The 26,624-nt window shown below is 48.5% G+C and overlaps 1 protein-coding gene and 1 long non-coding RNA gene across 8 annotated transcripts, besides 1 other annotated feature; one reads left to right on the top strand and one right to left on the bottom strand.

The window, feature by feature from the left end:
• Positions 1,530-25,886, top strand: SEC14L3 (SEC14 like lipid binding 3). 6 transcript variants are annotated; one of them, NM_001257378.2, is made up of 14 exons: positions 1,530-1,642; positions 2,340-2,387; positions 2,965-3,040; positions 3,292-3,335; positions 3,469-3,528; positions 4,589-4,758; positions 4,851-5,039; positions 6,470-6,565; positions 7,153-7,213; positions 8,644-8,727; positions 11,355-11,461; positions 11,853-11,992; positions 12,068-12,237; positions 13,405-14,318. In NM_001257378.2, the coding sequence occupies exons 6-14, from the start codon at positions 4,756-4,758 to the stop codon at positions 13,524-13,526; spliced, it is 972 nt and encodes a 323-aa protein (NP_001244307.1). In that variant the 5' UTR covers positions 1,530-1,642; positions 2,340-2,387; positions 2,965-3,040; positions 3,292-3,335; positions 3,469-3,528; positions 4,589-4,755; the 3' UTR covers positions 13,527-14,318. The 6 variants fall into 6 exon arrangements, with proteins under 6 accessions (NP_001244307.1, NP_001363843.1, NP_001244308.1 ...); NM_001376914.1 differs by lacking the exons at positions 4,589-4,758; positions 13,405-14,318 and adding an exon at positions 24,303-25,886; NM_001257379.2 differs by lacking the exon at positions 4,589-4,758.
• Positions 20,773-25,587, bottom strand: LOC105372991 (uncharacterized). Of its 2 annotated transcripts, XR_007068061.1 has the most exons (4): positions 25,536-25,587; positions 25,331-25,438; positions 21,789-22,186; positions 20,773-20,808 (listed from the first exon to the last, which is right to left on the bottom strand). It is a non-coding gene; the product is annotated as an uncharacterized LOC105372991 (long non-coding RNA). The 2 variants fall into 2 exon arrangements; XR_001755491.2 differs by having other exon boundaries at positions 25,331-25,587.
• Positions 22,202-22,561: a silencer, noted in NCBI's record as "fragment chr22:30846973-30847332 (GRCh37/hg19 assembly coordinates)". NCBI's record gives its function as "represses an EF-1alpha promoter that drives an FKBP-Casp9 reporter gene in an ReSE screen in phorbol 12-myristate 13-acetate-treated (for megakaryocytic differentiation) K562 erythroleukemia cells {active_cell/tissue: K562(+PMA)}" and the evidence as "EXISTENCE:reporter gene assay evidence [ECO:0000049][PMID:32094911]".

The raw sequence follows: 26,624 nt of genomic DNA, 5'->3' as shown, positions 1-26,624 counted from the left end.
TCTACCATCACAGGAAGTTCTGTGGAGTGGCACTGTAGCTGATGAGGATTTGTGAACATAGCAAGGTACTTGACAAATCTGTGGTCTGGGTCAGGAAAAGAGCTCAGTGTGAAGGCTCACAACTCCTGAGGAGACCCCCAACCCTCCCTCCTGGCTCTCCTTCACAGTCTCCGATGCCCCTAGAAGTAACTAGCACACCTCACATTATAGGGATTAGGGTGAGAAAGGAGACTGGTGAGAAATGGGCAGGATTAGTGGCTCGGGAAAGGGCAGTGGAGGAACCCAATCTCTGTACATTACTGGCCTGGCAGGAAGTGGGTGTAGACAGCAGCTGGGGCTTTGCAGAAATTGAGGCTGGAATGTGAAATGGGGCAGGGCTGGGGTGTGGAGAGTTACCTAACTGTTCCTGAGTACATGCCACGGGCTCCCCAGGCAGAGGGAAATGGCCAGCATTAGCCCTGCCTTCTCCTTCTGGATCCAACTCTGTGAGGAGCCCAGAGCAAGGAAGATGTCCCTGAGAAGATGTCTGATACTGACCAACATCTACTAGCCTAAAGAGACCCTGGGTTAGCCCAGAATAGAGGCCCACTGTAGCTCAGGGGTGGGTACCCAGGATGCCCCAGGAGTAGGGGACCTAGAAAAGCCCTAGGCAGAATGGTGTGGGCTAGCCCAGCTGCTGGGGCCGAGGCTAGCCCGGGGTTGGTTTCAGCCCATGCAGACCCCCTCAAGGCTGAGATGTGGCCATGTGGCCATGTGGCCATGCTGCAGCCTCAAGCTGATGGTTTCTTCAGAGAGAGTCATGGATAACAGGGTCTCTCCCTTCCTGGAGCTGAAGCTTACAGCTCCAGGGGGGACCAGGAGAGCTGAAGGAGAGTATCCCTCAGATGCACACAACCCTTGACAGTCCCTATGTCTCATTAGATCTTCCCTCTAACCACATAAGGAGGGGAAGGCAAACATTAACGGCCCCATTTTATAAATGAAGCAAGTGACGTTCAAAAGATGCCATCTGTCCTCTTCTTGACTGTGGACACAAAAGAAGGACCTGGGCCTCCCACCCCCAACAAAGTGAATGAACTGTTTACTACACTGACCAAGCCTCAGAATCCTACCCTTTCAGAGCTGGGTAGAGGGGGGTGATCTTTGCAGAATCCTAAGTGTGGGAAGACTGGGGCTCAGGGAGAAAGGGTACCCACAAGGAGCGGTCCTCATTCTCCTGAAACTCCCCCTTCTCCAGGGCAGTGGTCACTGGAGGCCTGGGAGGGTCAGCGGGTTCTACAGGCACTCACTCTGGGCTCCAAGGTCACGGGAGGCCAGCCTCCCTTCCTCCCAGCTGCCTCCTCCTGGCAGGGGACCTCTGGCACACGCTCCATGCCCGCCTGCCCCTCCAGATCTGTCCCCAAGCCAAGCAGGGGACCTCACTTAATCCCAATTATGTAATCTGCAATTTAAACAGTTGGCCCATGAGGAGGCGCTTGGAGCCACGCCCAGGAGTGGGGGCAAAAGGACCCAGCTGGGTCAGGGCTGACAAACTAGGCTTGGCCTCTTGCCTATAGTGGCCACCACTCCTCAAGCCCCAGCCAGCACCATGAGCGGCCGAGTTGGAGACCTGAGCCCCAAACAGGCAGAGACCCTGGCCAAGGTGAGAGCCCCTCCCCCTGGAGTTCCGGAAGACCAGGGGAAAGGGGCTGGGGGGTGGAAAGAAGTGGCTGGAATCCTGCCCCACTCAGTTGATTCAGCATGTCCTTGACATTGTCTCTTTGGTGTTACCTCCCAAAGGGTCAAGCCCCACGGTGCCCAGTAACATCAACCCTGTCCCGGGCGGGGGTTGAGGGACTAGCACCACTTCCAGGCAATAACGTGGGTGGTGCCCACCCAAGTCAAGCCTGACTTCTTCTCATCCAGGAGCCAGAACCAGAGAGGTTTACCTGGCAGCCAGGTACCCCCGTTCCTCCCTCCCAGGCACCATAGGTAGGAGCTGAAAGATGCTGCTGGTCTGCCCTTTAACCCCTTCCTCTTTGGGATCCTGAAAGATGACCAGTCTGTAAAAGCCCAAGAGACAGAGCAGAAAGTGTTGTCTTTCAAAGAGCTAAAGGAAGAAGAGGACATATAATTATTAACCATGTTTTAATAGAAGATGGGATGAAAAAAAGCAGATGTTTTGAGGGCTAACACATGGAGGGAACTAAGAATGCATCCAAACTCCAATCCACTTATTCATCCACCCAATTATTTATCCTTTCTTCTTCTTTTTCTTCTTTTTTTTGAGATGGAGTCTCTGTCATCCAGGCTGGAGTGCTGTGGAGCGATCTCAGCTCACTGCAGCCTCTGTCTCCCAGGTTCAAGCAATTCTCCTGCCTCAGCCTCCTGAGTAGCTGGGATTACAGGCATGTGCCACCACACCTGGCTAATTTTTGTATTTTTAGTAGAGATGAGTTTTCACCATGTTGGCCAGGCTGGTCTCAAACTCCTGACCTCAGGTGATCCACCAACCTCAGCCTCCTAAAGTGCTGGGATGACAGGCGTGAGCCACCATACCTGGCTGTTTATCCTTTCTTTCATCCACCCATCCCTCTTCCTACCCACGCAGCCACCTATCCATCTTTCTTTCTCTCAATCACCCACCCATCTCTCCTCTGTCCATTCACTGATTTATCCACCCACCCACTCTCCATCCATCCATCTATCCATTCATCCATTGATTTCTTCTCCCTTTTTCCATCTACCTACCCACTCACCCATCTATTCTTCTTTCTAACCATTTATTCATCCATCTATCCTCCTTCCATTCATCCACCTATCCAGTGATCCATCTGCCCTTCTATTCAACCATTAACCCATCCTTTCATCAATGTGGGCCATTTTGCATGTGGGAGGAAAGGAGAGGTTGTGAAAACAGTCTTTGAGTCTGGAGGCCAAGGCTCAATGTGAGAGAGCCACTTTAACCAGCATCTCTCTTGCCAGTTCCGAGAAAACGTCCAGGATGTGCTTCCTGCCCTGCCCAACCCTGATGATTATTTCCTTCTACGCTGGCTCCGAGGTGAGGGCAGAGGTGGGAGAGGTTGGGATCAGGGGGCATCAAGAGGGGCCTGGTCTCAACTGCTCCAGAGTGTCTCATGGCTCTCAGGGTCCATCCACACAATCTTGCTTCACATGTTCAGGTCCAGAGGAGGGAAGGGGGTAGGGGAGCAAGGTCTCACCCAGGCCCCCAGTGTCCTCCATAGCTCCCACTGGCCAGGAGTAAGACAAGGCATCTTTCCTGTCTCACACCTTCCTTCTGTTTTCCCACAGCTCGGAATTTTGACTTGCAGAAGTCGGAGGCTTTGCTCCGCAAGGTGAGACCTATCCACTCTGGAAATTTATGGAGGGGATTTGTCAGGGGCAATCCATGCCTCAAGCCCCTCCTTCCATCCCTGTTCTCAGGGCACTGGGAGCCCAGTGGGATCTTACCACTCATTTCCCTTTCAGTACATGGAGTTCCGGAAGACCATGGATATTGACCATATCCTTGATTGGCAGCCCCCAGAGGTGAGCCAACACCGCCAAACACCTCAGTCTTTCACGGACGTACCACTCAAGGTCACTGGGGACCATGAATGAGGGGCAGCAAGCCTGAGAGGCCTGTGGAACCCGCAGGCCTGCAGTCTCCTTTCCTACAGTCATAATGAATGTTTCCTGGGGGCTTGCAAGGTCCAGGCCTAGGTTAAGATGTTAGCAGCATGAGCTTCTTTAATCATCACAATGATGGATGCTATTGTCCCCATTTTGTGGATGAGGACACTGAAGCCCAGCAAAAATTAGGTAACTTGCCCACAGTCCCATAGCCCAAGGTAGGGCTGGGATTTATGCTCAGGCCTGTTTGGGCCCCCAAACCCAGGCTCGTAACCACCACGGTTAGCCTGTGCTTCTGCACCCCTGCCCCCTAAGGCATTGCCTAAAGCATCCTGTCTGGGTGGGAAAGAAGTTTAGCCCATCAAGGCACTGATGAGGACAGTGCCACCACTGGCATCTTAGTAGAGTAATGGTCACGTCTTCACTTGTAGGGCATGTACCCGGATCTGGGCACTCTGCTTTGCCAACTTTATCTCAGGGACTTTCCCCAACAGTCCCAAGAGTGAGGGGTTATCCAAACCATTTTACAAAAAAAGTAGGTAGAATGGAGCTCAGAGAGGTGGTGTCACTTGCTCAAGGACACACAGTACAGAAGCAGCAGTATCTGCTTTTTTTTTTTTTTTTTGGATGGGGTCTCACTCTGTTGCCAAGGCTGGTGTGCAGTGTCATGATCATGGCTCACTGCAGCCTTGAACTCCTGGGCTCAAGTGATTCTCCCACCTCAGCCTCCCAAGTCTACAGATGTGTATTACCACAGCTGGCTAATTTCTTTTATTTTTGTAGGGACAGGGTCTCTCTCTGTTGCCCAAGCTGGTCTCAAACTCCTGGCCTCAGGAGATCCCATCTGCCTCAACCTCCTGAGTAGCTGGGATTACAGGCATGAGCCTCCATGCCCAGCCAGTGTCTGTTTTTGAACCAGCTCTGTTAACCTTCAGAATCTGTGTTCTCCATCACTAAACCCGACTCTTCTCCACAGAAAGGGACACGGGAGACATCAGGGGCAGACCTAAGAAGTCCAAGGGCCTGCTGAGACCTGGCTTTGCCATTTACCCTCTGTGAGCAAGGCCCTCCCCTGCAGGACCTCAGCTTTCTCACCTGAGACAATAGCACTGTCTTCCAGGGAGGGACAGTGCTTTTTATACCATGGTGTGTGTAGGCTTGGGCCACCCAGGTCAGCCTGGTCTGGGGTCTCAAGGGAGGTGTGTAATGCCAAGTTCTGTGCATCTTTTCATGCCCAGGTGATCCAGAAGTACATGCCTGGGGGCCTGTGTGGCTATGACCGTGATGGCTGCCCCGTGTGGTATGACATCATTGGGCCACTTGATCCCAAGGGGTTGCTCTTCTCAGTCACCAAGCAGGACCTGCTCAAGACCAAGATGAGGGACTGTGAGCGCATCCTGCATGAGTGTGACCTGCAGACAGAGAGGGTGAGGTCCAGGCCAGGTGGGGTGGATGGCTGGGGGCAGGTGAGGCTGCCGGGGGGATTGGTCTCAGAAACACACCTGTGTTCTCTACAACCACAGTCAGAGGGCTCTGGGGTCAAACACCAGCTCTGTTGCTTACCAGCTGTGTGGCCTTGAAAAGTCACAGTCACAGAAAGACAGTTTCTTGAAGGATACTTTTGCTGGGAATAGAACCCTCTTTTTTTTTTTGCTTGAGACAGAGTCTCGCTCTGTCACCTAGGCTGGAGTGCAGTGGTGTGATCTTGGCTCACTGAAACCTCCGCCTCCCAGGTTCAAGGGATTTTCCTGCCTCGGCCTCCTGAGTAGCTGGGATTACAGGCGCCCGCCACCACGCAGGGCTAATTTTTGTGTTTTTAATACAGACGGGGTTTCACCATGTTGGCCGGGATGGTCTCGATCTCCTGACCTTGTGATCCACCCGCCTCAGCCTCCCAAAGTGCTGGGATTACAGGCGTGAGCCACCGTACCAGGCCGGGAATAGAATTCTTGGTTGATGGGTTTTTTTGCTTTGTTTTGTTTTGCTTCAGTGTTTTGAATATGTCATTTCACCTGTCTGAGCCTCAGCTCCTTCACCTATAAAACAGGGATATGAATAAATAATGGTTGCAAAAGTGAAATGAAATAATGCAAGTATGCAATTTAGCACACAGGGCCTAATATATATTTCTCAACAATGGTAGCTATTGCTATTCCCTCTGAGCCTTTCTTTGCCCTTGCTATTCCTTCTGTCTGAACAACCCTAGTTCCCACCACACACACCTACCTCCCACAACTTTCCCTGACTTTCTCCTATCTATCCTTTAGGTCTGAAACTTAGATGTTACCTTCTCTGAGTCCCCCGCCTGGGTTAAATAACCTCTTCTGTATCCCTGAAGCTCTTGTGCTGACCTATTGCAGCACTTATCATAGGATCCAAATGACCTGGTTGCTTGTCATCTCCCCAGCCAGACAGTGAACTTTTTAAGGACAAAAACTGTGGGTTATTAGGCACTATTCATTACACTTTAGTGTCTGGCACACACAAAAAAGTGCTTGATAAATATCAGTTTATATTTATCAGTTTATATTTATATTATGGAAAAATGGAGGATGAATAAATTAATGACAATATGAATGAATGGATGGATGGTTCAATTAATTGATGAGTAAGTTGATATATACGGGGGTGGGTGGGTGGATGGTTGGATAGATGGATGGATGGATGGATGGATGGATGGATGGATGTGGATGGATGGATGGATGAGTGGGGAAATGCATTCACTGGTTAGTCTACTTGTTCCTCTGAGGACAGAGTCGGGGTCTAGAAGAAGCCCCAAGGGGTCATGTACTTGGATTACCATCTCCCAAGCCTACACCCTGAACTCCAGAACTACTTCTTGCTCTCATCCTTGCAGCTAGGGAAGAAGATTGAGACCATCGTGATGATATTTGACTGTGAGGGCCTGGGACTGAAACACTTCTGGAAACCTCTGGTAGAAGTGTACCAGGAGGTAAGGAGAAGTCCTAGGGCCACCCCCCGCTTGCTTTGATGACCAGCTTGGCCTGCCATGACCCAGCTGCTTACTGAGAGCCAAGATTTAGTTTAAAAATGTCCTGGGCTCCCTCATTGTGACTCAAACTCCAGAAGGCCTTAATACCTTTCCTAGAAGATCCCACAGAATGGGTTTCAGGGACAACACTGTACTGAGACCACACGTTCCAGCTTCCACCAAACCCTCTCCATGCTTGTTTCCTGACCTACAAAATGGGGATAGCAATGTAGGGATACTTCAGCAAGTTGTTATGTAAAGTGTATATACACTGCTTGGCAAATAGTGAACATTTAATCAACAGTAGTCATTATTATTATACTACCATTATTATAATATTTACTAAAAACAATTATTATGTAATTATTATTAGAGTATGGTTATAATAGTATGAGGTGAGAAGGTTCCCTCCAGAGGCCAGGGGAGGTGATGGCATGAAGGGAAACCCTCCAGAGCCATCTGAAACCTCCCAACAGGAGATTGCACAGGAGATGGAGGTAGGAGAAGATGTGATGTGCTCTCTGAAGGGATCTCTCTTGGTTCCACAGTTCTTTGGCCTCCTTGAAGAGAATTACCCAGAGACCCTGAAGTTCATGCTCATCGTGAAAGGTATGTGACAAATGACTTCACTTACTTGTGCCTCTGTTTCCTCATCTGTACGCTGAGGGTGATAACACTGTCTTTGTCCCAGGATTGTTGTGAGGCAGGTTGGTTTCTTGGCTGTATGCAAATCACTTAGAATGCCTGGCATAGAGTAAGTTCTCAATAAATGGTAACTTCTAGGGTTGGCCTTACTGCAAGAGAAGGCAGCTCCAGTCCCAGCTCTCCCAGGGATCCTCCCTTATTTCTCCTGTCCATGATGATCTCTCCCTCCCCAGACTGCTTCTGGCACTGGCAACTGGTGCAGCCTTCCCTGTTTGCTGCCTTTTAGGGATCTCCAGCTGTTTTATTTGTGCTCATCCTGCTTTACTGGCTGAGTTTTCTGCTCCTTGAAGCCAGGGGCTGTGATTCTCCACTTTTGTTGTAGCCCTCACAGGCCTGGGTCCATGGTGGATGCTCCATAGGTATTTGGGTAATTGTTGTGGGTAGATGAAAGGATGGATGGATGTTTGGTGATTGGCTAGTTGGTTGATCAGTTGGTTGCTTGATTGGTTGTTCAGCTGACTGGCCAGTTGGTTGCTTGGCTAGTTGACTAACTGGTGGTTCGTTGGAGAATTGGCTGGCTGCTTGGTTGGCTAGTTCTTAGCTTGGTTGACTGATTGAGTGGCTGGTTGGCATTTTGGTTGGTAGGTTGTTTTGATGGCTAGTTAGTTGGTTGCCTGGTTAGCAGGTTGGTTAGTTGGTTGCCTGGTTTGTTGTTTGGCTGAATCTTAGATGATTATTTGGATGGTGGCTGGCTGGTTATTTGGATGGTTGGCTGGCTGGTTATTTGACTGACTGGCTGGCTAGTTATTTGGATGGTTGGCTGGCTGGTTATTTGACTGACTGGCTGGCTGGTTATTTGGATGGTTGGATGACTGGTTATTTGGATGGTTGGCTGGCTGGTTATTTGGATGGTTGGCTGGCTAGAGAACACAGTTAGTTGAGTGGTTATCTGGCTGTTCCATTGGCTGATTGCTTTGCTGTTTGGCTGATTTGTTAGATGGTTGACTATTTGGTAGGTTGGCTGGTTAGAAGTTAAATTGTTTGACTATTTGTTGTCAGTTGGTTGGTTTGTTGCATAGTTGGTTGGCTGTTTGGTAGGTTGGCTGGTTTATTGGTTGACTGAATAGGTGGCTGATTAGAAGTTTGAATGACTGGCTGGTTTGTTGGCTGAATGGTTGGTTGATGGTTGCATTGCATGATTGATGCATGATTGGTTAGTTGGCTGTTTGTTGGCTGGTTGACTGGTTGGTTGGATGGTTTGTTGGGTGCAGGACAGACACTGGAATTGACCAGGGTTAGTCATGACTCCTCTGTATCATTGGCTATAACCATTATGGAGGGGGTTGCCCAATGTAATTCTTTTCTTCCCATTATCCTTACTTCTATCTCTCCAGCTACCAAACTGTTCCCTGTGGGCTACAACCTCATGAAGCCATTCCTGAGTGAGGACACTCGCAGGAAAATTATTGTGTTGGGAAGTAAGTAGTGCCAGCTCAATTTCCTGACCTCTATACATGACCTTTGGAGTGAGGTTGTCCCATTACCCCATCTAGAACTCCACACATTAGGTTGGGTGCAGTGGCTCACGAATGTAATCCCAGCACTTTGGGAGGCTGAGGCAGGAGGATTGCTTGATATCAGGAGGTTGAGACCAGCCACAGCAACATAGCAAGACCCCATCTCTACAAAAAATTTAAAAATTAGCTGGTTGTGGTGGTGCACACCTGTAATTCCAGATACTTAGGAGGCTGAGGTGGGAGGATCACTTGAGCCCAGGAGTATGAAGCTGCAGTGAGTCGTGTTCACACCACTGCACTCCAGCCTGGGCAACAGAGTGAGAACCTATCTCAAAAACAACAGAACTCTACACATCACCTAGTCAGAGGCTCCTTCTTCCCAACAGTGAAGTGGGTTTTACCCTAAAGAGTGTTACCTTTGCTCTTTTCCCTGCCATACCCCTTTGGTGGACAAGGCCTCCACACCTACCACCTCACTGGTTTCAGTTTGGTTGCAGTCAATTTCTGGTATATAGGCCTCGGTTTCTTTTCAACACTCATAAGCTTAGTGCTTCCAAAGGCAACCTTGGCAGAAGAGGATGAGGCAGACGAGCAGAAAGAGTAGTCACAATTCAGAGAAAGGAGACCCAACAAGAAAGGACTGGATAAATAAATAATGGTGCATGCATTTGATGAATTCTGGAGCCGCCATGAGAAATAAGGCTATATGTGAATATTTAATGCCATGGAAATGTCTTTAAGTTTTTAAAAGTAGATTATAAACTTATCTTCATAAGCATAAACTAAAATAAGATTAAACTAAAAGTATAATCTTATTTTATGAAAACATATGTACAATAAATACATATTTCTACAAGGAAAAACAACAAAATATTTTTTGTTGATAGTGAGAGATCGTGTGGTTTTTAATTTTATTACCTGTATTGTCTATGATTTCTAAACTGTATAATAATATGTATTAATTTTACAAATAGGAGAATAGTTGTGTTTACAAGTGACAGGCTGAGAGAAAGAGAGAGAAGGGAAATAGTTCTTAAACCCAAACCAATGACCCTGGCTTGGAGGAAAACTTCTCCCAAGCAGGATAGTCAGATCACAGAATTAGGAGAACTGAGGATCCAGGGGTGAGGGGGAGCTTATAAATCCTTACTTTCTCTTTCTTCCTGGTACCTGAGCCTCTGCCTCTACCCAATTCCACTGGGATGGGGAACTTGATAGATTATGAGGGCCTGGTTTGAAGGGTCCAGGCTCATGCCTTCTACGCCTTCCAAAGCCTAGAGCAGTGTGGGTTACCAGCACAGTCCAGGCCTTAAGTCCACAGCCTCTGCCCCATGTGACTCTGCTCATTTGGCTCTGGTATGTGGCACATTGTGGTCTTCCCCTTAATACCACTGTAGAGAAGGAACCTCCCATGGCCAAAGTGAGGGGGTTGGGGGACCGGGTAGCCTGGATTAGCCATAAGGCTGGGGCATGGTAACAGCCAGGACCCAGAACTCTTAGAGCTTTACATAGGGCATGAAGAACATTATGGTCATGGTGATTAGGCAGAGGGAAGTGGGGAGGGTCCCTCCAAAAGCCCAGGGCTGTCCATCCCCCACTAGGAGGTCTGACTTGGGCATGCCACTTACTTACAGAGTGATCCCAACAAGGCCGTTGACGTCATTGAGCTCTAAACTCTCCTTGAGGCAATTAGATAACTCTTAGTTTCACTGCTCATGACTGGAAGATCTTCAAGAATGTGCTGTTGGCTGGGCGTGGTGGCTCATGCCTGTAATCCCAGCACTTTGGGAGGCCGAGGCGGGTGGATCACAAGGTCAGGAGTTCAAGACCATCCTGGCCAAGGTGGTGAAACCCCGTCTCTACTAAAAATATAAAAATTAGCCAGTCATGGTGGTGGGCACCTGTAATCCCAGATACTCAAGAAGCTGAGGTAGAGAACTGCTTGAAACCATGAGGTGGAAGTTGCAGTGAGCTGAGACCACACCACTGCACTCCAGCCTGGGTGACAGAGCAAGACTCCGTCTCAAAAAAAAAAAAAAAGAATGTGCCATAGGCTGGGCATGGTGATGGTGGCTTACACCTGTAATCCCAACACTTTGGGAGGCCCAGGTAAGACAATCATTTGAGCCCAGGAGTTTGAGACTAGCCTGGGCAACATAGTGAAACCCTATCTCTACAAAAAAAAACCAAACAAAACCAAATAAAAATTAGCCAGGCATGGTGGTACATGCTTGTAGTCCCAGCTACGCAGGAGGCTGAGGTGGGAGGATCACTTGAGCCCAGGAAGTCGAGGCTGCAGTGAGCCATGATCATTCCACTGCACTCCAGACTGGACAACAGAGTGAGACACTGTCTCAAAGAAAAAAAAAGTGCTGATTCATCTATCAAGGCGGGAAACACATTTCCACAGCAACACAATGCTGAGAAAGACACTTACTGTAGCCCCAGGCCTAGGACACTGGGGAATTGGTCCTGGCAGCCTACCTCCTATAGGGCTTCTCCCCCAGTTCAGGTCATCCTGGTGGGTGTGGGAGGCTAATTGGTGCCCCCCATGCTTGCTAACCACCCTTGAATCCCACTGCTCCCAGATAACTGGAAGGAAGGTTTGCTGAAACTCATCAGTCCTGAGGAACTGCCTGCCCAGTTTGGGGGCACCCTGACTGACCCAGATGGGAACCCCAAATGTTTAACCAAGGTACAAAGAGCCCTTCCCTGGGACAAGAGAGGTTCAAGAATTAAGCTGGATTCCCTTTCCACTCAGTCATTCATCCACAATTACCTATAGAGAGATGCCAAGAACTGGGTGTTAAGCTAGTCAATACAACCCTCGCCCTTACAGAGCTCTCAGCAGCTGTAAAGGCAAACAAGAAATAGGCGAATTTTAACCCAGAGGGATGAGCTGGGAGGGGAAGCTCCCAGCAGACGCACTGGCCCAGTTTGGAGGGTCATAGAAGGCTTGAGGAGGTGGGAGAGTGGGGCTAGGATGAAGAGGATACTTCCAGGAGGTGGTGAAAGTGTCTCAGGCAGAAGAAACATGAACAATGGCCAGGAGACGGAAGCAAGCCCATCTCATCCCATGTCCGCAGATTAACTATGGCGGGGAGATCCCCAAGTCCATGTACGTGCGGGACCAGGTGAAGACTCAGTACGAGCACTCGGTGCAGATCAACCGCGGCTCATCACACCAAGTGGAATACGAGATCCTATTTCCAGGCTGCGTTCTCAGGTAGGGGCAGGCCCTAACCCCTCAGAGACCCATCAGGCTGAGCAGCAACCTGTCTCCTCCCCCTCCCCCTGACAGGTGGCAGTTCTCATCTGATGGTGCGGACATCGGCTTCGGAGTTTTCCTGAAGACCAAGATGGGGGAGCGACAGCGGGCAGGGGAGATGACAGATGTTCTACCCAGCCAGCGCTATAACGCCCACATGGTGCCCGAGGATGGGAACCTCACCTGCTCAGAGGCCGGCGTCTGTAAGTCTGCCCCAGCTGGGACCTGGCTCTGAAAGGCTAGAGCCACCTGTCCCATGCTTTAGAGAAGGAAACAGAGGGGCAGTGACACACCTCCCCCATTCAGGGACACACAGCCTAGGTTAGCACCATTCATTCATACAGTCACTCACTCAGTCCATATTCATGAGCACCTACTGTGCACCAGGAGCCAGAGACATACAGGCCCTGAAGGAATTGGGGACACCTGGACCACAGAACACAGACAACAAGTGATAGGGCAGGTGTAGTTTTCCACATGAGGAAACCGAGGCTCTGAAAAATAAATCAACTTGTGCAGAGCCACAAAGCTGAGTGTGGTTCCAGGGTCCCACCCGAGCCTCAGGGTAGCTACATAGTCCTGGGCAAAAGTCTGACCAATCTGGGAAGGACCCTTGGTTTGCTCACCTGTGAGCCAGGAGTTACAATGCCTGTTTTTTCTCTTTTTTTTTTTTTTTTTTTTTTTGAGACAGAGTTTCACTCTTGTTGTCCAGGCTGGAGTGCAATGGTGCAATCTCTGCTCACCGCAACCTCCCCCTCCCGGGTTCAAGCGATTCTGCTGCCTCAGCCTTCTGAGTCGCTTGGATTACAGGCATGTGCACCACACTTAATTTTGTAATTTTAGTAGAGATGGGGTTTCTCCATGTTGGTCAGGCTGCTCTCGAACTCCTGACCTCAAGTGATCCACCCACCTTGGCCTCCCAAAATGCTGGGATTATAGGTGTGAGCCACTGTGCCCGGCCAACACCTGCTTTTTGGGGTGGTTGTGAGGAGGCAAACAGTGTCCAGCAGGCCTGCCCCAGAACCCCACTTCATCCAAGGGGGCTGGGAGGTCTCTGATGAACCCAACCATGTGCCTTCACAGCCCCGTCATGTGCGTCTCCAGGTGTGAGACAATGGGATGTAATGACCATTGTTCTCGATGCCAGTAAAGCCATGCCTGGGCACATGCCAAGAGGAGGTTGGTGTCTGTTTACAGGACCTGCTTGGGTTGGCAGTTCCCATGGGGAAGGGAAGAGGCGTGGTGGGAGCTTGGCCCAGCTTGGCAAACAAAGCCAGTGGGAACACAAGCCTGTCCTCCTCCATGGCCAGGGGTGGAAAAAAGAGTGTGTAAAGCCAAGCCCAATGCCCCTCTTTCCATCTGTCCCCCAGATGTCCTACGCTTCGACAACACCTATAGCTTTGTCCACGCCAAGAAGGTCAGCTTCACAGTGGAGGTCCTGCTCCCTGACGAGGGCATGCAGAAATATGATAAGGAGCTCACCCCTGTCTAGGTGGCTCCCTCATTTCTCAGAGACCTCCTAACCCTTTGATTTCTCTGTTTATATCCTACACTCCCTCCCTCCCTGAAATTGATTGTTAGTCCTCCTGACTCTGTGACGTTAGTGAGTACAGAAAGAGATGCCCTGGGGAAAACTCATCTACTGTGGTCAGATCAAGAAAGGTATGAGAGGCACAACCTTGGAGGGTACCAAGGTTGCAGAAGAGGAAAAAGCAAGGGTAAAGGCAAGAAGTGGGTGTCATGAAACTCAATAAATAGCAAAATGAATCCCCTAGCCTTTGTCCTCACCTACCCTAAGGCAGGTGTGTATGCTTGAATTCCTTCCGTATGGCTGTGAGCAACTTGGGTTGGAGACATATCTAAATCCTTTTTACTTCCACTCCCTATATATAGTAGATGCTCAGTGTATATTTGTGGCATTGAATGGAGGACCAGAAGGTAGGGTGCAGGTGACTCAACAGCTGTACATGATTAGGAGGAGCCTATGTGGGGTGGATTTCAGCACCTTGGACAGGAGCAGATGTGTGGTGGGGTTGGACTCTCTTCTGGAGACCCAGACAATTCAGTCTCCAGATTTCTGGCAGTGGCTGTCTTTTGAGGGCCCCAGCCACAAAGGCCACATGCCTCTGATAGGAGCTGCCTACATCAGGCTTTGTCTGACTTGCACGCTCAGCTTCCCACCCTAACCCACTTCCCTTGTTGCACATAGCTTATGTTTTAGGGACTTTCCTGGAAGCAAAGGCAGTCACATCTGGCATAATCATAATAAAGAAAACAACTATCATTTGGCGAGTGCTCTCTGTGTACCAGAAACTGTGCCAAGAGCTTTGTGAGTTTAGCATGTTTTATTCTCATGCCATCCCCAAGGCCCTTTATGGATAAGGAAATGGAGGCTCAGAGGGGTGAAGCTACTCACTCAACATCTTACAGCTTGGGTGGCAGATCCAGGACCTGGGGCAGGGGGTGTTCGTTTGTTTGTTTATTTGTTTGTTTGTTTGTTTTTTGAGACAGGGTCTCGCTCTGTCGCCCACCCAGGCTGGAGTGCAGTGGTACAATCATGGCTCACTGCAGTCTTGACCTCTTGGGCTCAAGCCATTCTCCCACCTCAGCCTCCTGAGTAGCTGGGACTACAGGTGGGCATCACCACACTTGGCTAATTTTTTTGTATTTTTTTGTAGAGATGGGGTTTCCCCATGTTGTCTCAAGCTCCTGGCCTCAAGTGATTTACCCCCCATCAGCCTCCCAAAGTGCTGGGATAACAGGCCTCAGCCACCATGCCTGGCCTGTTTTTGCTTTGTTTACTCCAATGACATTGCTCTCAGTTGCCTTGTAATACCGCCTCCTGCCTATAATCCCAGCCCTTGGGGAGGCTGAGATGGGCGGATCGCTTGAGCCCAGGAGTTTTAGACCAGCCTGGGCAACATAGTAAGACCACATCTCTATCAAAAAAATTTAATATAGTAAGAATATGACCTCCTAAGATTCCACTTTTACAAAGGCAGTGAGAAGGCATGATTTATTTGTTCTAGACCTTCCAGTAGAAGTGTCCTGCATGTCACCCTCTCCAGTCCCTGTTTGTGGGTAGAGGAGGTGATAGGCCATAGAGACCCACAATACTGAAGCAGCTTGTCCAAGGAAATTCACAGCAGAGTGGGGCAGGGCTTGTGTTCCTCAGCTCAGCATCCTGTCCGCTGCTCACATGGCATCTGTGAAGCACAACCCCCTGACGCTCACCATGACCCTGGGTGACTAGGGCAAAGGCCAGGACTCCAGAGTTTCCTTCCCAACTTTCTGCTGTGATTCGGGGACGTGAAGAGGCTGGCTTGAGCCCCAGTCCCTGACACAACTCTTGCCAGGGGAGCCGGATCACACCCGGGAATGGGGATGAATGGGAACCAAAGGCTGGTGCCATGAGAGGCTCCTTGGAAACAAACAAACGGAGGGCTGAGCTCATCCGTGGGCAGGCTATGAGGTCTGACTCAGGCTAGTCAAGCAAATATTCAGCAGCAGCAAGCACTTTCCCACATGCACTTATGGGTGCAAAATCTGATATCTGCTTTATAGATGGGAAACTGAGCTCCCAAAGGCACTGGCCTTGTATCTTCAGCCTACAGGTGACAGAAATAGTCCTGGAGCTAAGGCTGCCCCTTACCCCGTCACCTCTTCACCCCCACCACTCTTCTATAACAATTTGTCAGAATGGGACAAGACTGCCTTCTTCCTGAGCTGGCAGGGAAGGAGGAGGGAGGAGGAAGGAGAAAGGAAAAAGGAAGGAAGAGAAGAGAAAATGAGGGTTGTCAGATTTAGAAAGGAAAAAAAAAAAAAAGCATGGCCAGGTGCAGTGGCTCATGCCTATAATCCCAACACTTTAGGAGGCCAAGGCAGGCGGATCACTTGACGTCAGGAGTTCGAGACCAGCTTGGCCAATGTGGTGAAACCCCGTCTCTACTAAAAATACAAAATTTAGCCTGGGGAGGTAGCACATACCTGTAATCTCAGCTCCTCAGAAGGCTGAGGCATGAGAATCTCTTGAATCCAGGAGGTGGAGATTGCAGTGGGCTGAGATCACACCACTGCACTCCAGCCTGAGCAACAGAGCAAGACTCCATCTAAAAAAAAAAAAAAAAAAAAAAAAGACATACTTAAAATGTATCCATTGTTTATCTAAAATTAAAATTGACCTATGCATCTTATATTTTATCTGACAATCCTACCAATGAGGGAAGATGGAGGGAAGAGAGAGGAAAGGGAGGAGGATGGAAAGAGGGGGATGGGTTCACCTTCTTGGAAGACGGTGGCAGCACCCACAATTTGGGCCAATGATGTCATGGAATCCTTGGGAGAGGATGGCTTAGTGTGGGTGATGCAGGGTCGGGGGACAGGGTGGTCTCACCCTTGACCACCAAAGGAAAGGCCTCGATGTTGAAGCAGGGTCTGAGGTAGAGAGTGTGGACCCTTTGTGCCTTTGGGACTAAGATGAGCAGTGCTGTTGCCAGAGCTCCTCTGTGGCAGCTGAGTGGAGGGGACTTGCACCAGGAGGTGGAGCAGTGCAAAGAACCTAAGGCCAGGGCCAGAGCTGAGATCTGCAAAGTGCCCATCAGCATCCGCTGATGCCCACCCCTGGCAAGCCAGCTCCCACTGTGTGCACACAGCCAGTAAGAGGCAGGCTTCCCAAGCTCCAGCTTCTAGCCTCCAGTCTTACTCAGGGTCTAGATGCTCAGCTCCAGTCCTGAATCTCCAGGAGGCAGCATTGGGGAAGGAAAGAGACCCACTTTGTAGCTTTGGCCAATGGTCACTAATAGAGTTTGGATATTTGTCCCCTCCAAATCTCAGGAGGAAATGTGGCCCCCGATGTTGGAGGTGGGGCCTAGTGGGAGGTGTTTGGGTCATGGCGGTAGATCCTTCATGAATGGCTTGGTGCCTGCCCGCCATAATGAGTGAGTTCTTATTCTACAATTGCTTAAAAGAGGCTGGCACCCCTCCCCTCTTCTTGCTCCCTTCCTCTCACCATGTGACACGCTGGCTCCCCTTCCTCTTCTGCTATGAGTAAACGCTTCCTGAAGCCCTCACCAGAAGCTGAGCAGATGCCGGCACCATGCTTTCTGTACATCCTGCAGAACAATGAGCCAAGTAAACCTCTTTTCTTTGTAAATTACCCAGCTTCCAATATTCCTTTTTTCGTGTTTGGTGTTTGTTTTTTTTTTTTTTTTTTTGGAGACAGGGTCTCACTCTGTCGCCCAGGCAGGAATGCAGTGGTGCAATCTAGGCTCACTGCAACCTCCACCTCCTGGGTTAAAGCAATTCTCCCACCTCAACCTCCCAAGTAGCAGGGAACACATGTGCCTGCCACCATGCCTGGCTAATTTTTGTATTTTTAGTAGAGATGGAGTTTCACCATGTTGGTCTTGAACTCGTGGCTTCAGGTGATCCACACACCTTGGCCTCCCGAAGTGCTGGGATTACAAGCGTGAGCCACCTTACCTGGCCCAATATTCCTTTATAGTAACACAAAATGGACTAACACAGCCCCCTCATTCCAGAAGTGATAAGCTAGCAGCATAGGGCAGGAAAACCAAGGCCTGCAGGCCCCCCATTGTGTGAGAAGGAAAGTTAACTTAGAAGTTCCTGTTCCAACAGCCCAGAAATGCCAAGGCAGAGCCAGGGAAGGAAAAGTCTCACTGTTCTTGGGAAGCTAGAGTTGGTGGCCACAGGCCATTTCCCATAGAGGAGTCAAATTTCTGCTGAGGCCAAAAGGCGAGGCTCCCAACCGTGTAGACCTCAGGCCAGGGACACCGGTGGGCAACACTATGCTGGTGCTAATGAGGCCCCAGCCCTGCCTCTTACTCCTTCCCCAAGAACCCACCACCACACTGGCCCCTTCAGAGACCACAAATGCATGTCACAAAGTTAAGACATCAGGTTTTTCCCCTAACAACTAGTACCAAAAAGCACAAGGTTAAGGCAACACAGGCCAGGTGCAGTGGCTCGTGCCTGTAATTCCAGCACTTTGGGAGGCTGAGGCAGCTGGACCACTTGAGGTCAGTTCAAGACCAGCCTGGCAACATGGTGAAACCCTATCTCTACAAAAATATAAAAATTAGCTGGGCGTGGTGGTGCATGCCTGTAATCCCAGCTACCTAGGAGACTGAGGCAGGACAATCACTTGAACCTGGGAAGTGGAGGTTGCAGTGAGCCGAGGTCACATCACTGCACTCCAGCCTGGGCGACAGAGACTCCGTCTCAAATATATATAATATATTATATATAATATATTAAATATTATATATTATATTATTTAATATTTATATTAATTTATATTATATATTAAATATTAAATATAATATATTAAATATTAAATATAATATATATTAAATATTAAATATAATATATATTAAATATTAAATATTAAATATATTATATATTAAATATTTAATATATTATATATTATATATAATATATTGTATATCTATTATATAATATAATATATTATATATAATATATTATACATCTATTATATAATATATAATATATAATAATATATTATATATCTATTATATGATATATAATAATATATTATATATCTATTATATAATATATAATAATATATTATATATCTATTATATAATATATAATAATATATTATGTATTATATAATAATATAATATATTATATATTATTATATATTATATTATAATATATAAAATATATAATATACAATAATATATAATATATAATAATATATTATATATTATATATTATATATAATAATATTATTATATATTATAGATTATAGATTATATATAATAATATATATTATGGATTATAGATTATATAATAATATTATAGATTATATATAGTAATATTATAGATTATATCTAATAATATTATAGATTATATCTAATAATATTATAGATTATATATAATAATATTATTATAGATTATATATAATATTATTATAGATTATATATAATATTATTATAGATTATATATAATAATATTATTATAGATTATATATAATAATATTATTATAGATTATATAGAGAGAGAAACAAGGGTTATTTTTTCGTTGTCTTCTGAAGGGGCCACTGCCTCCAGGTCTTCCTCCAAAATAGACTGAGATTCCATATCAATTTCCTCCTCAGAAGAGAGTCTCTCTGTTGCGCAAGTCACCAGCCCCATCTTGTGGGCCTCCCAGCTGGCAGGGCACCAAAACAGAGCCTCTTAAGCTGCAGAGAGGGCAGGATGGCTGGAAGACCTCGAGTGCCTTCCTCAGGGTCACAGGAGCAGCAACAGAGTGACACCAGTGAAGGCCAGTGCAACCAGCAAAAAGTCCTTCAGCATCTTGCAGGAGGCTGGGAAGGAGAGGTCCAAGAGCACCCCAGGACTGCCCAGAGGTGCGGGGCAGGTTGTACAGGACAGCTAGGGTGAGTCCAGAGGTAGGAAAACAAAGGCCAGGAGTGCCTGGGGAAGCAAGGGTATGGCTGAGACCAGAAAGAACAGTAAGACAAGACCAAGCATGACTATCCATGAACCTGGACAGCAGTTGGGGGGAGGAGAGATTAGTTCTGTTAGTGCCTAGGCCCCCTAGACCCTGCACCTACCTTTAAACCATAACACTATAGCATCTTGACCTTCAGCAGGGCCGGGCCACCATATAGGTGTCCCCTTCCCCAGGAAACTCTGAAGAGAGTAAGCTGTCAGCCCTATCTCTCCTCCCTTTCCTGCTTGGAAGGAGGAAAATTCTTCCACGGCCATTAACTTCCCAAGGCAGGCCTGTGTTCAGCTGCTAAAAGCAGGCTGGGCTGGGCACGGCGGCTCACGCCTGTAATCCCAGCACTTCGGGAGGCCGAGGTGGGTGGATCATTTGAGGTCGGGAGTTTGAGACCAGCCTGGCCAACATGATGAAACCCTGCCTCTACTAAAAATACAAGAATTAGCTGGGCGTGGTGGTGCATGCCTGTAATCCTACCTACTCGGGAGGCTAAGGCAGGACAATCACTTGGACTCGGGAGGTGGAGGTTGCAGTGAGCTGAGATTGCGCCATTGCACCCCAGCCTGGGCAACGGAGCGAGACTCCATTTCAAAAAAATAAATAAATGAAAGGAGGCTGTGGCAATGAGGTGTCACCTAGCAGAGAAACTGAAGAACACAAATGTCTATCAATGTGGGACTGGTTAAATTCTCCTACTTCCATTCCTAGACTACTGTGCCATCACAAATGCAAAAGAGGTATCAACCTACAGAGCTGCCTAGAGAGTACTGTAGAAGCACGTTATAGAATGTTACAAAACTACATTATATTAATGTGTATGTCTAGCAAAAGCCACCTGGATATGACAATACTAAGATGTTAGTTAACGATGATCTAGGTGGTAGGATTGTATCCTGTTGAGGTACCTGAATTTTCTAGTGTTACCAAGCAAAACGGGCTCACTGCCCAGTGTGCTAGAAGCCAATACTAATTGGGCTCTTGAGAATAGAAAAACTTTCATTGCAGCTGGGCACAGTGGCTCACACTTGTAATCCCAACATTTTGGGAGGCCGAGGTGGGCTGATTGCTTGAGTATAGGAGTTCGAGACCAACCTGAGCAACGTGGTGAAAACCCCATCTCTACAAAAAACAACAAAAAAATTAGCAAGCCATGGTGGCATGTACCTGTTGTCCCAGCTACTCAGGAGGCTGAAGTGGGAGAATCACTTGAGCACAGAAGGTTGAGGCTGCAGTGAGCCAAGATCACACCACTGCACTTTAGCCTGGGTGACAGAGTGAGAACCTGTCAAAAAAAAAAAAAAAAGAAAGAAAGAAAGAAAGAGGAAGAGCTTTTATTGCAAGTCAACTCGTCAACTCCAAGGAGACAGGAGTCCAGCTCAAATCTGTCTCCCCGTGCTGGCTTCAAGGCAGTATTTTTATTAGAAAATGTGCGGGTGGTAGATTCTGAGATTAGTAGGTGACAGGAAGAAGGGAAGGGGAGGTCTGGAAAAGTCCTTGACCTGTAATCCCAGCACTTTGGGAGGCTGAGGCGGGTGGATCACGAGGTCAGGAGTTTGAGACCAGCCTGGCCAACATGGCAATACCCTGTCTCTACTAAAAATACAAAAAATTAGCCAGTCGTGGTGGCCGGAGCCTGTAATCCCAGCTACTCAGGAGGCTGAGGCAGGAGAATCGAACCCGGGAGGCGGAGGTTGCAGTGAGCCGAGTTTGCACCACTGCACTCCAGCCTGGGTGACAGAGCAAGAGTCCATCTCAAAAAAAAAAAAAAAAAAAAGAAAGAAAGAAAAGAAAATTCCTTGAGCACGTGCAGTTATCTCTTCATGCCTCCTCATGGATCGCATGTGCAAAATTTAAGGGGCATTAGTATGAAACACGCGGTGGAAATTCAGGCTACAACGTCACCAAGTTCATTCTGCACAGATTCTGGTTGGCCATCTTGGTTCCAACCAATTCCAGCCGGATTTTTCTTTTCCTTTCTTCTTTCTTTTCTTTTCTTTTCTTTTCTTTTTTCTTTTTTTTTTTTTTTTTTGAGATGGAGTCTTACTCTCTTGCCCATGCTGGAGTGCAGTGGCGCGATCTTGGCTCACTGCAAGCTCTGTCTCCTGGCTTCAAGCCATTCTCGTGCCTCAGCCTCCCGAGTAGCTGGGACTACAGGTGCACGTCCCACCATGCCTGGCTAATTTTTGTATTTTAAGTAGAGACAGAGTTTTGCCATGTTGGCCAGGCTGGTCTCGAACTCCTGGCCTCAAGTGATCTGCCCACCTTGGCCTCCCAAAGTGCTGGGGTTACAGGCTTGAGGCACCGGGCCCGGCCATCAGCCAGTTTTTTTCTTGATCTCGTAAGTGCAGGGAGTGTCCGTGTTTCGGCAAGCTGTTTCTTTTCTTATCTGCTATCCTGCAAACTCAAGAATTTCTGTTACTGGTTTCTTACTCTTCGGGGCACAGTCTTAGTTTCAGCTTTTCAGCAAGTTCTTTCTTTTCTTATCTGCTATTCTGTAAGTCCAAGAATTTAGTCTTTGGTTTCTTTAACTCTTTGGAGCCTGGTTTACCAGGACAGTTGTCTATTTGCTTTATTATGTTTGTTTGGTAAGGGGGGGCCGGGGACAAGGTGTTGGAGCACCTGTCATCGGACCTGCCACTTGTGCATCCTCCCCAAAGCACCTGCAAGACAGAAGAGGCTTAAGGTCAGTGTCCATCCCCTCCCCGACTAACCCCACCCAAGCCATGATCTCTTCACGCTCCCCTGCCCCAACTCCTCATCTTGTCCACGCATCTTCCAGCCCAGAACCTGTTCTCATGGTGGGTGCAGTGGCGTTCATCTGCCCACACACGCCAAAGGTCCCCAGAGCAGCGCCACCCCCGGCAGCCCCCCTGACCTGGCCTGCCCCCACTGTACCTTGGTGCCACATTTCTCTGTGTGGGAATAGCCAAAGTCACAGCAGTCACACACTGAGCTTTCCCACTAATCACCTGCAAGCTGTCAGCTGCCAACAGCCCAGGCAGAAAGACCTGCCCAGTCAGGAGGGTTGGGGACAACATTCTGCCCGGGCAAGGGGCCTGCCCCAAATCCCAATCCCAGCATGGCCACCATCTCTGCTCTGTGCAGCAGCAGGTGGTCACTTGGCCTCTCTGGACCTTCCTTTCCTTGGCTTATGTGTGCTAGGAAGAGCCCACCTACAGTTTCAGGGTAAGGATTCCCCACCGTGTGGATGAAGTATCCTGGCACAAGGTCAGCCAAGGCCTTCCATTTCCCCCTATTACCCAGCTTCCAGAACCCAGGCCTTGAGCCAGCAGGGCTCACACAGCATGCCTTTCAGGACCATGAAATTCCTTCAGCTGAAGGAATTTGCCCAGGGTCCCATAACTTGAAACGGAGAGGTCTTACTTGTATGAGGAGATGTTGTAAAAATAGGATTTCCAGCCAGACACGGGAGCTCATGCCTGTAATCCCAGCACTTTGGAAGGCAGAGGCAGGTAGATCACTTGAGGTCAGGAGTTCGAGACTAGCCTGGCCAATATGGTGAAACACTGTCTCTACTAAAAATATACAAATTAGTTGGGCAAGGTGGCACGCACTTGTAATCCCAGCTACTGGGGAGGCTGAGGCAGAATTGTTTGAACCTGGGAAGTGGAGGTTGTAGTGAGCCAAGATCATGCCACTATACTCCAGCCTGGGGGACAGAGAGAGATTCCGTCTCAAAAAAAATAAAAATAAGATTTCCAGCCAGGCTCAAAGGATCGCGTCCAGCTCCAGACCCTCGTCCAGCAGATGAGGTAAACCCAGAAGTAGGGGCCGTGGAAGAGCTGGGTGAGAGGGCTCGTCCTGGACTCCATGCCCCCGCTACCTCAACATAGCCATCCCATGTTGAACTACATCGTGCCCATTTATTTCCCATCAACTGAGGGCCTAGAAAAGCAAGCGTGTGGCTGAGACCAGAAAGGGCAGTGGGACAAAACCAAGAACAAGTGTCCGTGAACCTGGACAGCAGTAGCGGGGAGGGACCACAGAGAGCAACTGACATCAGGAAGCCAGGCCAGCCTGTGACTATCACACCCAGTCCAGAACAGGCCCTCTGAGGAGAGACAATTCTCCTGATTCTCCCTGATCCAGGAGTATTTCCTCACCACAGCGCTGATTTACAACAGGGACAGATTGGGGCCAGGCGTGGTGGCTCACATCTGTAATCCCAACACTTTGGGAGGCCAAGGCAGGTGGATCACCTGAGGCCAGGAGTTCGAGACAAGCCTGGCCAACATGGTGAAACCCCATCTCTACTAAAAATACAAAAATTAGTTGGGCATGGTGGTGCAAGCCTGTAGTCCCAGCTACTCGGGAGGTTGAGACAGGAGAATCACTTGAAACTGGGAGGCGGAGGTTGCAGTGAGCTGAGATCGCGCCACTGCACTCCAGCCTGGGCGACAGAGCAAGACTCCATCTCAAAAAAAAAAAAAAGAAAAGAAAAGAAAAGAAAAGAAAAAAGAACGGACAGACTGGAACCCTTGGGGAGCTTCTGTAATCAGGTACTGGCTAAGTTACAGCTTGACCAGACAAGTAGGGTTCTGTGGAGCTGTGAACTTTCACAAAATACCTTTTATGCATGAAAAAGTACTTGATTAAGTTATTGTATAATGTCATTCTATTATAGAATGACACATAGAATCCTATTTTATAAAACACTAACTTAGCATATGCCTTAGTATTGGTGACCCTCTGGAGTTCAGGATTTTCATTTCTTTTTGTTTGTTTTGTTTTCTCATAACCACCTCAATTTTACAGATGTGGAAAGTGAGTCTGGGAAGTCTTGCTGTCATCTGCCCGTGATTATATGCAGCCATGAGCTACAGAACTCACACTCAAACTCGCAAGTGATGGCATACCAAATGGTACGAAAATGCAAGCTAAGTAGGCCTTTACCCCTCCCTGCCAGTAACTAATTTTTGTCTGTGTGAGTAACTGGCCTGTGTGTAAGAGGACTCACCCCCTACGTGGTCTCCAGTTAATTCTTTTTCCCATTTGGGCTCCTGACCGCCTTGCCATGCTGCTTCTAAGAGGGGTTATCTATACTCAGAGGGCCTAGGGCAGACCAAGGAAGGGAAAGAAGTTTTGGAGGTTTGTTTGTTTGTTTTTTAGAGACAGGGCTTTGCTTTGTGGCCCAGGCTGGAGTGCAGTGGTGCGATCATAGCTCACTGCAACCTTGAGCTCTTGGGCTCAAGTGATTCTCCCCTCTCAGCCTCCTGAGTGGCTGAGACCACAGGTACACATCACCATGCCTGGGTTTTTTTTCTTTCTTTCTTTCTTTCTTTTTTTTTTTTGGTAGAGATGAGGTATTGTTACATTGCCCAGGCTGGTCTCAAATTCCTGACCTCAAGCAATCCTCCTACCTTGGCCTCCCAGTGCTAGGATTACATGTGTGAGCCACCACTCCTGGTCTGGGCTTTTTTTTTTTTTTTTTTTAGGAGAATGTAAGGCATTTGTTTAGTGTTTACTGAGCATCTACTGCATGCCAAGCTCTGCTCAGGAGGCCAAGAGAGCAGGATAGGAGTGAGCCCTGCACCTGGGGTTTGGCCTGGCTGGGGAGCCCTAGCCTCAGGAAGCAGGACTGCCCTGGACCCCAGGAGGCCCCTGCTCAACCTGCGACAAGACTGAAAGGCTCCCCAGATGCACTGTGACGGTCAAGGGAGAGAAATGGGTGACCTGGGATCCTGGTGGCTTCAGATCTCATTGGGGGAAGGAGCAAGGGACCCCAGGGGTCAGAGGCATTGGGGGGGTAGGGCTGTCAGAGGGCACCCAGCAGAGTGACTCACAGGCTATGAGGAAAGAAGTCTCCTCTTGCTTGTATCTTCAGGATGCCAAGACCTGCAGCCCAGGCCTGGGGTGGTGGTTATCCCGGAGCGGCCTTACCAGGTGCACAGCTGGCCAAGGGAGGCTTGGTCATGGGCAGAGAGGGCAGGAGGAAGGCCCTTGCTCCACCACCCCCTCTCCCAAGGGAGTCCTATGCCCAGAACTTACCAAGTAGCAAGACTAGAGCAACCAGCAGAAGACCCTTGGGGGCAGCCATCATGAAAAAAAAAAAAAACATTGCCCGCCACCCCAAAGCCTCCTTAAATAGGCCCAGAAGAGGCTGGGGAAGGAACCTGGAGCCCACAGATAAGCCTAGGGCATGGCTGAGCTGGGCCCAAGCCAAACACTTCCACAGTCCTCTTCCAGCGACACCCACCCCAGCCCTGCCAAACACACACACCTATCTGCAATGCCCCCTGATTTTAAGGAAGGCTCCAAAGTCCTCCTCACTCACGATGGATTTACTAACACTAGTAAGAGTTGTAAACCAAAAATAAAATTCTAAGATCCCCCACCAAACATCTGAATGGACCCTTCCTCTCGGCCAGGGGCATTGCAAAGTTTACCTGAAAGAGTAGTTTAGGCCATGATGGGAAGGGAGTGGGGTCGGACGTGCGTCATGATACCCTCCTCCCTTTCGGAATTCAGGAAAAGCTGACCAACATGAACATCGACACAGACCCTAAGTCCATGATAAAACCTTGGTCTTGGCCCAGCGCGGTGGCTCACGCCTGTAATCCCAGCATTTTGGGAGGCCGAGGCGGGTGGATTACCTGAAGTCAGGAGTTCAAGACCAGCCTGGCCAACATGGAAAAACCCTATTTCTACTAAAAATACAAAAATTAGCCAGGCCTGATGGCGGGCACCTGTAATCCCAGCTACTCAGGAGGCTGAGGCAGGAGAATAGCTTGAACCCGGGAGGCAGAGGTTGAAGTGAGCCAAGATCGCACCACTGCACTCCAGCCTGGGTGACAGAGGGAGACTTTGTCTCAAAAAAACAAAAACAGACAAAAACAAAAAACCCTTGGGCTCCATGACCCTTATCCTAACCCAGACTTTCTTTTATTTTTTTTGAGACAAAGTCTCGCTGTTGTCACCCAGGCTGGAGTGCAATGGCGCAATCTCAGCTCACTGCAACCTCCACCTCCCGCTAACCCAGACTTTCTATTGATAATTTCTTTCTATTGATAATTCTTTCAACCAATTGCCAATCAGAAAATTTTTAAATCTACCTATTACCTGGAAGCCCCTGCTTGG

Source organism: Homo sapiens, chromosome 22 (genome assembly GCF_000001405.40).
Source record: "Homo sapiens chromosome 22, GRCh38.p14 Primary Assembly".
Taxonomy (NCBI): domain Eukaryota; kingdom Metazoa; phylum Chordata; class Mammalia; order Primates; family Hominidae; genus Homo; species Homo sapiens.
Note: the sequence above shows the minus strand (reverse complement) of the source record. Positions and strands in the feature narration are given on the sequence as shown.

Bases quoted from the DNA above. Each gene is read 5' to 3' on its own strand.
- SEC14L3 (XM_011530128.3), top strand. From the start codon at position 1,589: ATGAGCGGCCGAGTTGGAGACCTGAGCCCCAAACAGGCAGAGACCCTG. The intron at 3,529-4,850 runs GTGAGCCAACAC...TTTCATGCCCAG, and splicing joins TTGATTGGCAGCCCCCAGAG to GTGATCCAGAAGTACATGCC. The intron at 11,462-11,852 runs GTACAAAGAGCC...CCATGTCCGCAG, and splicing joins ACCCCAAATGTTTAACCAAG to ATTAACTATGGCGGGGAGAT.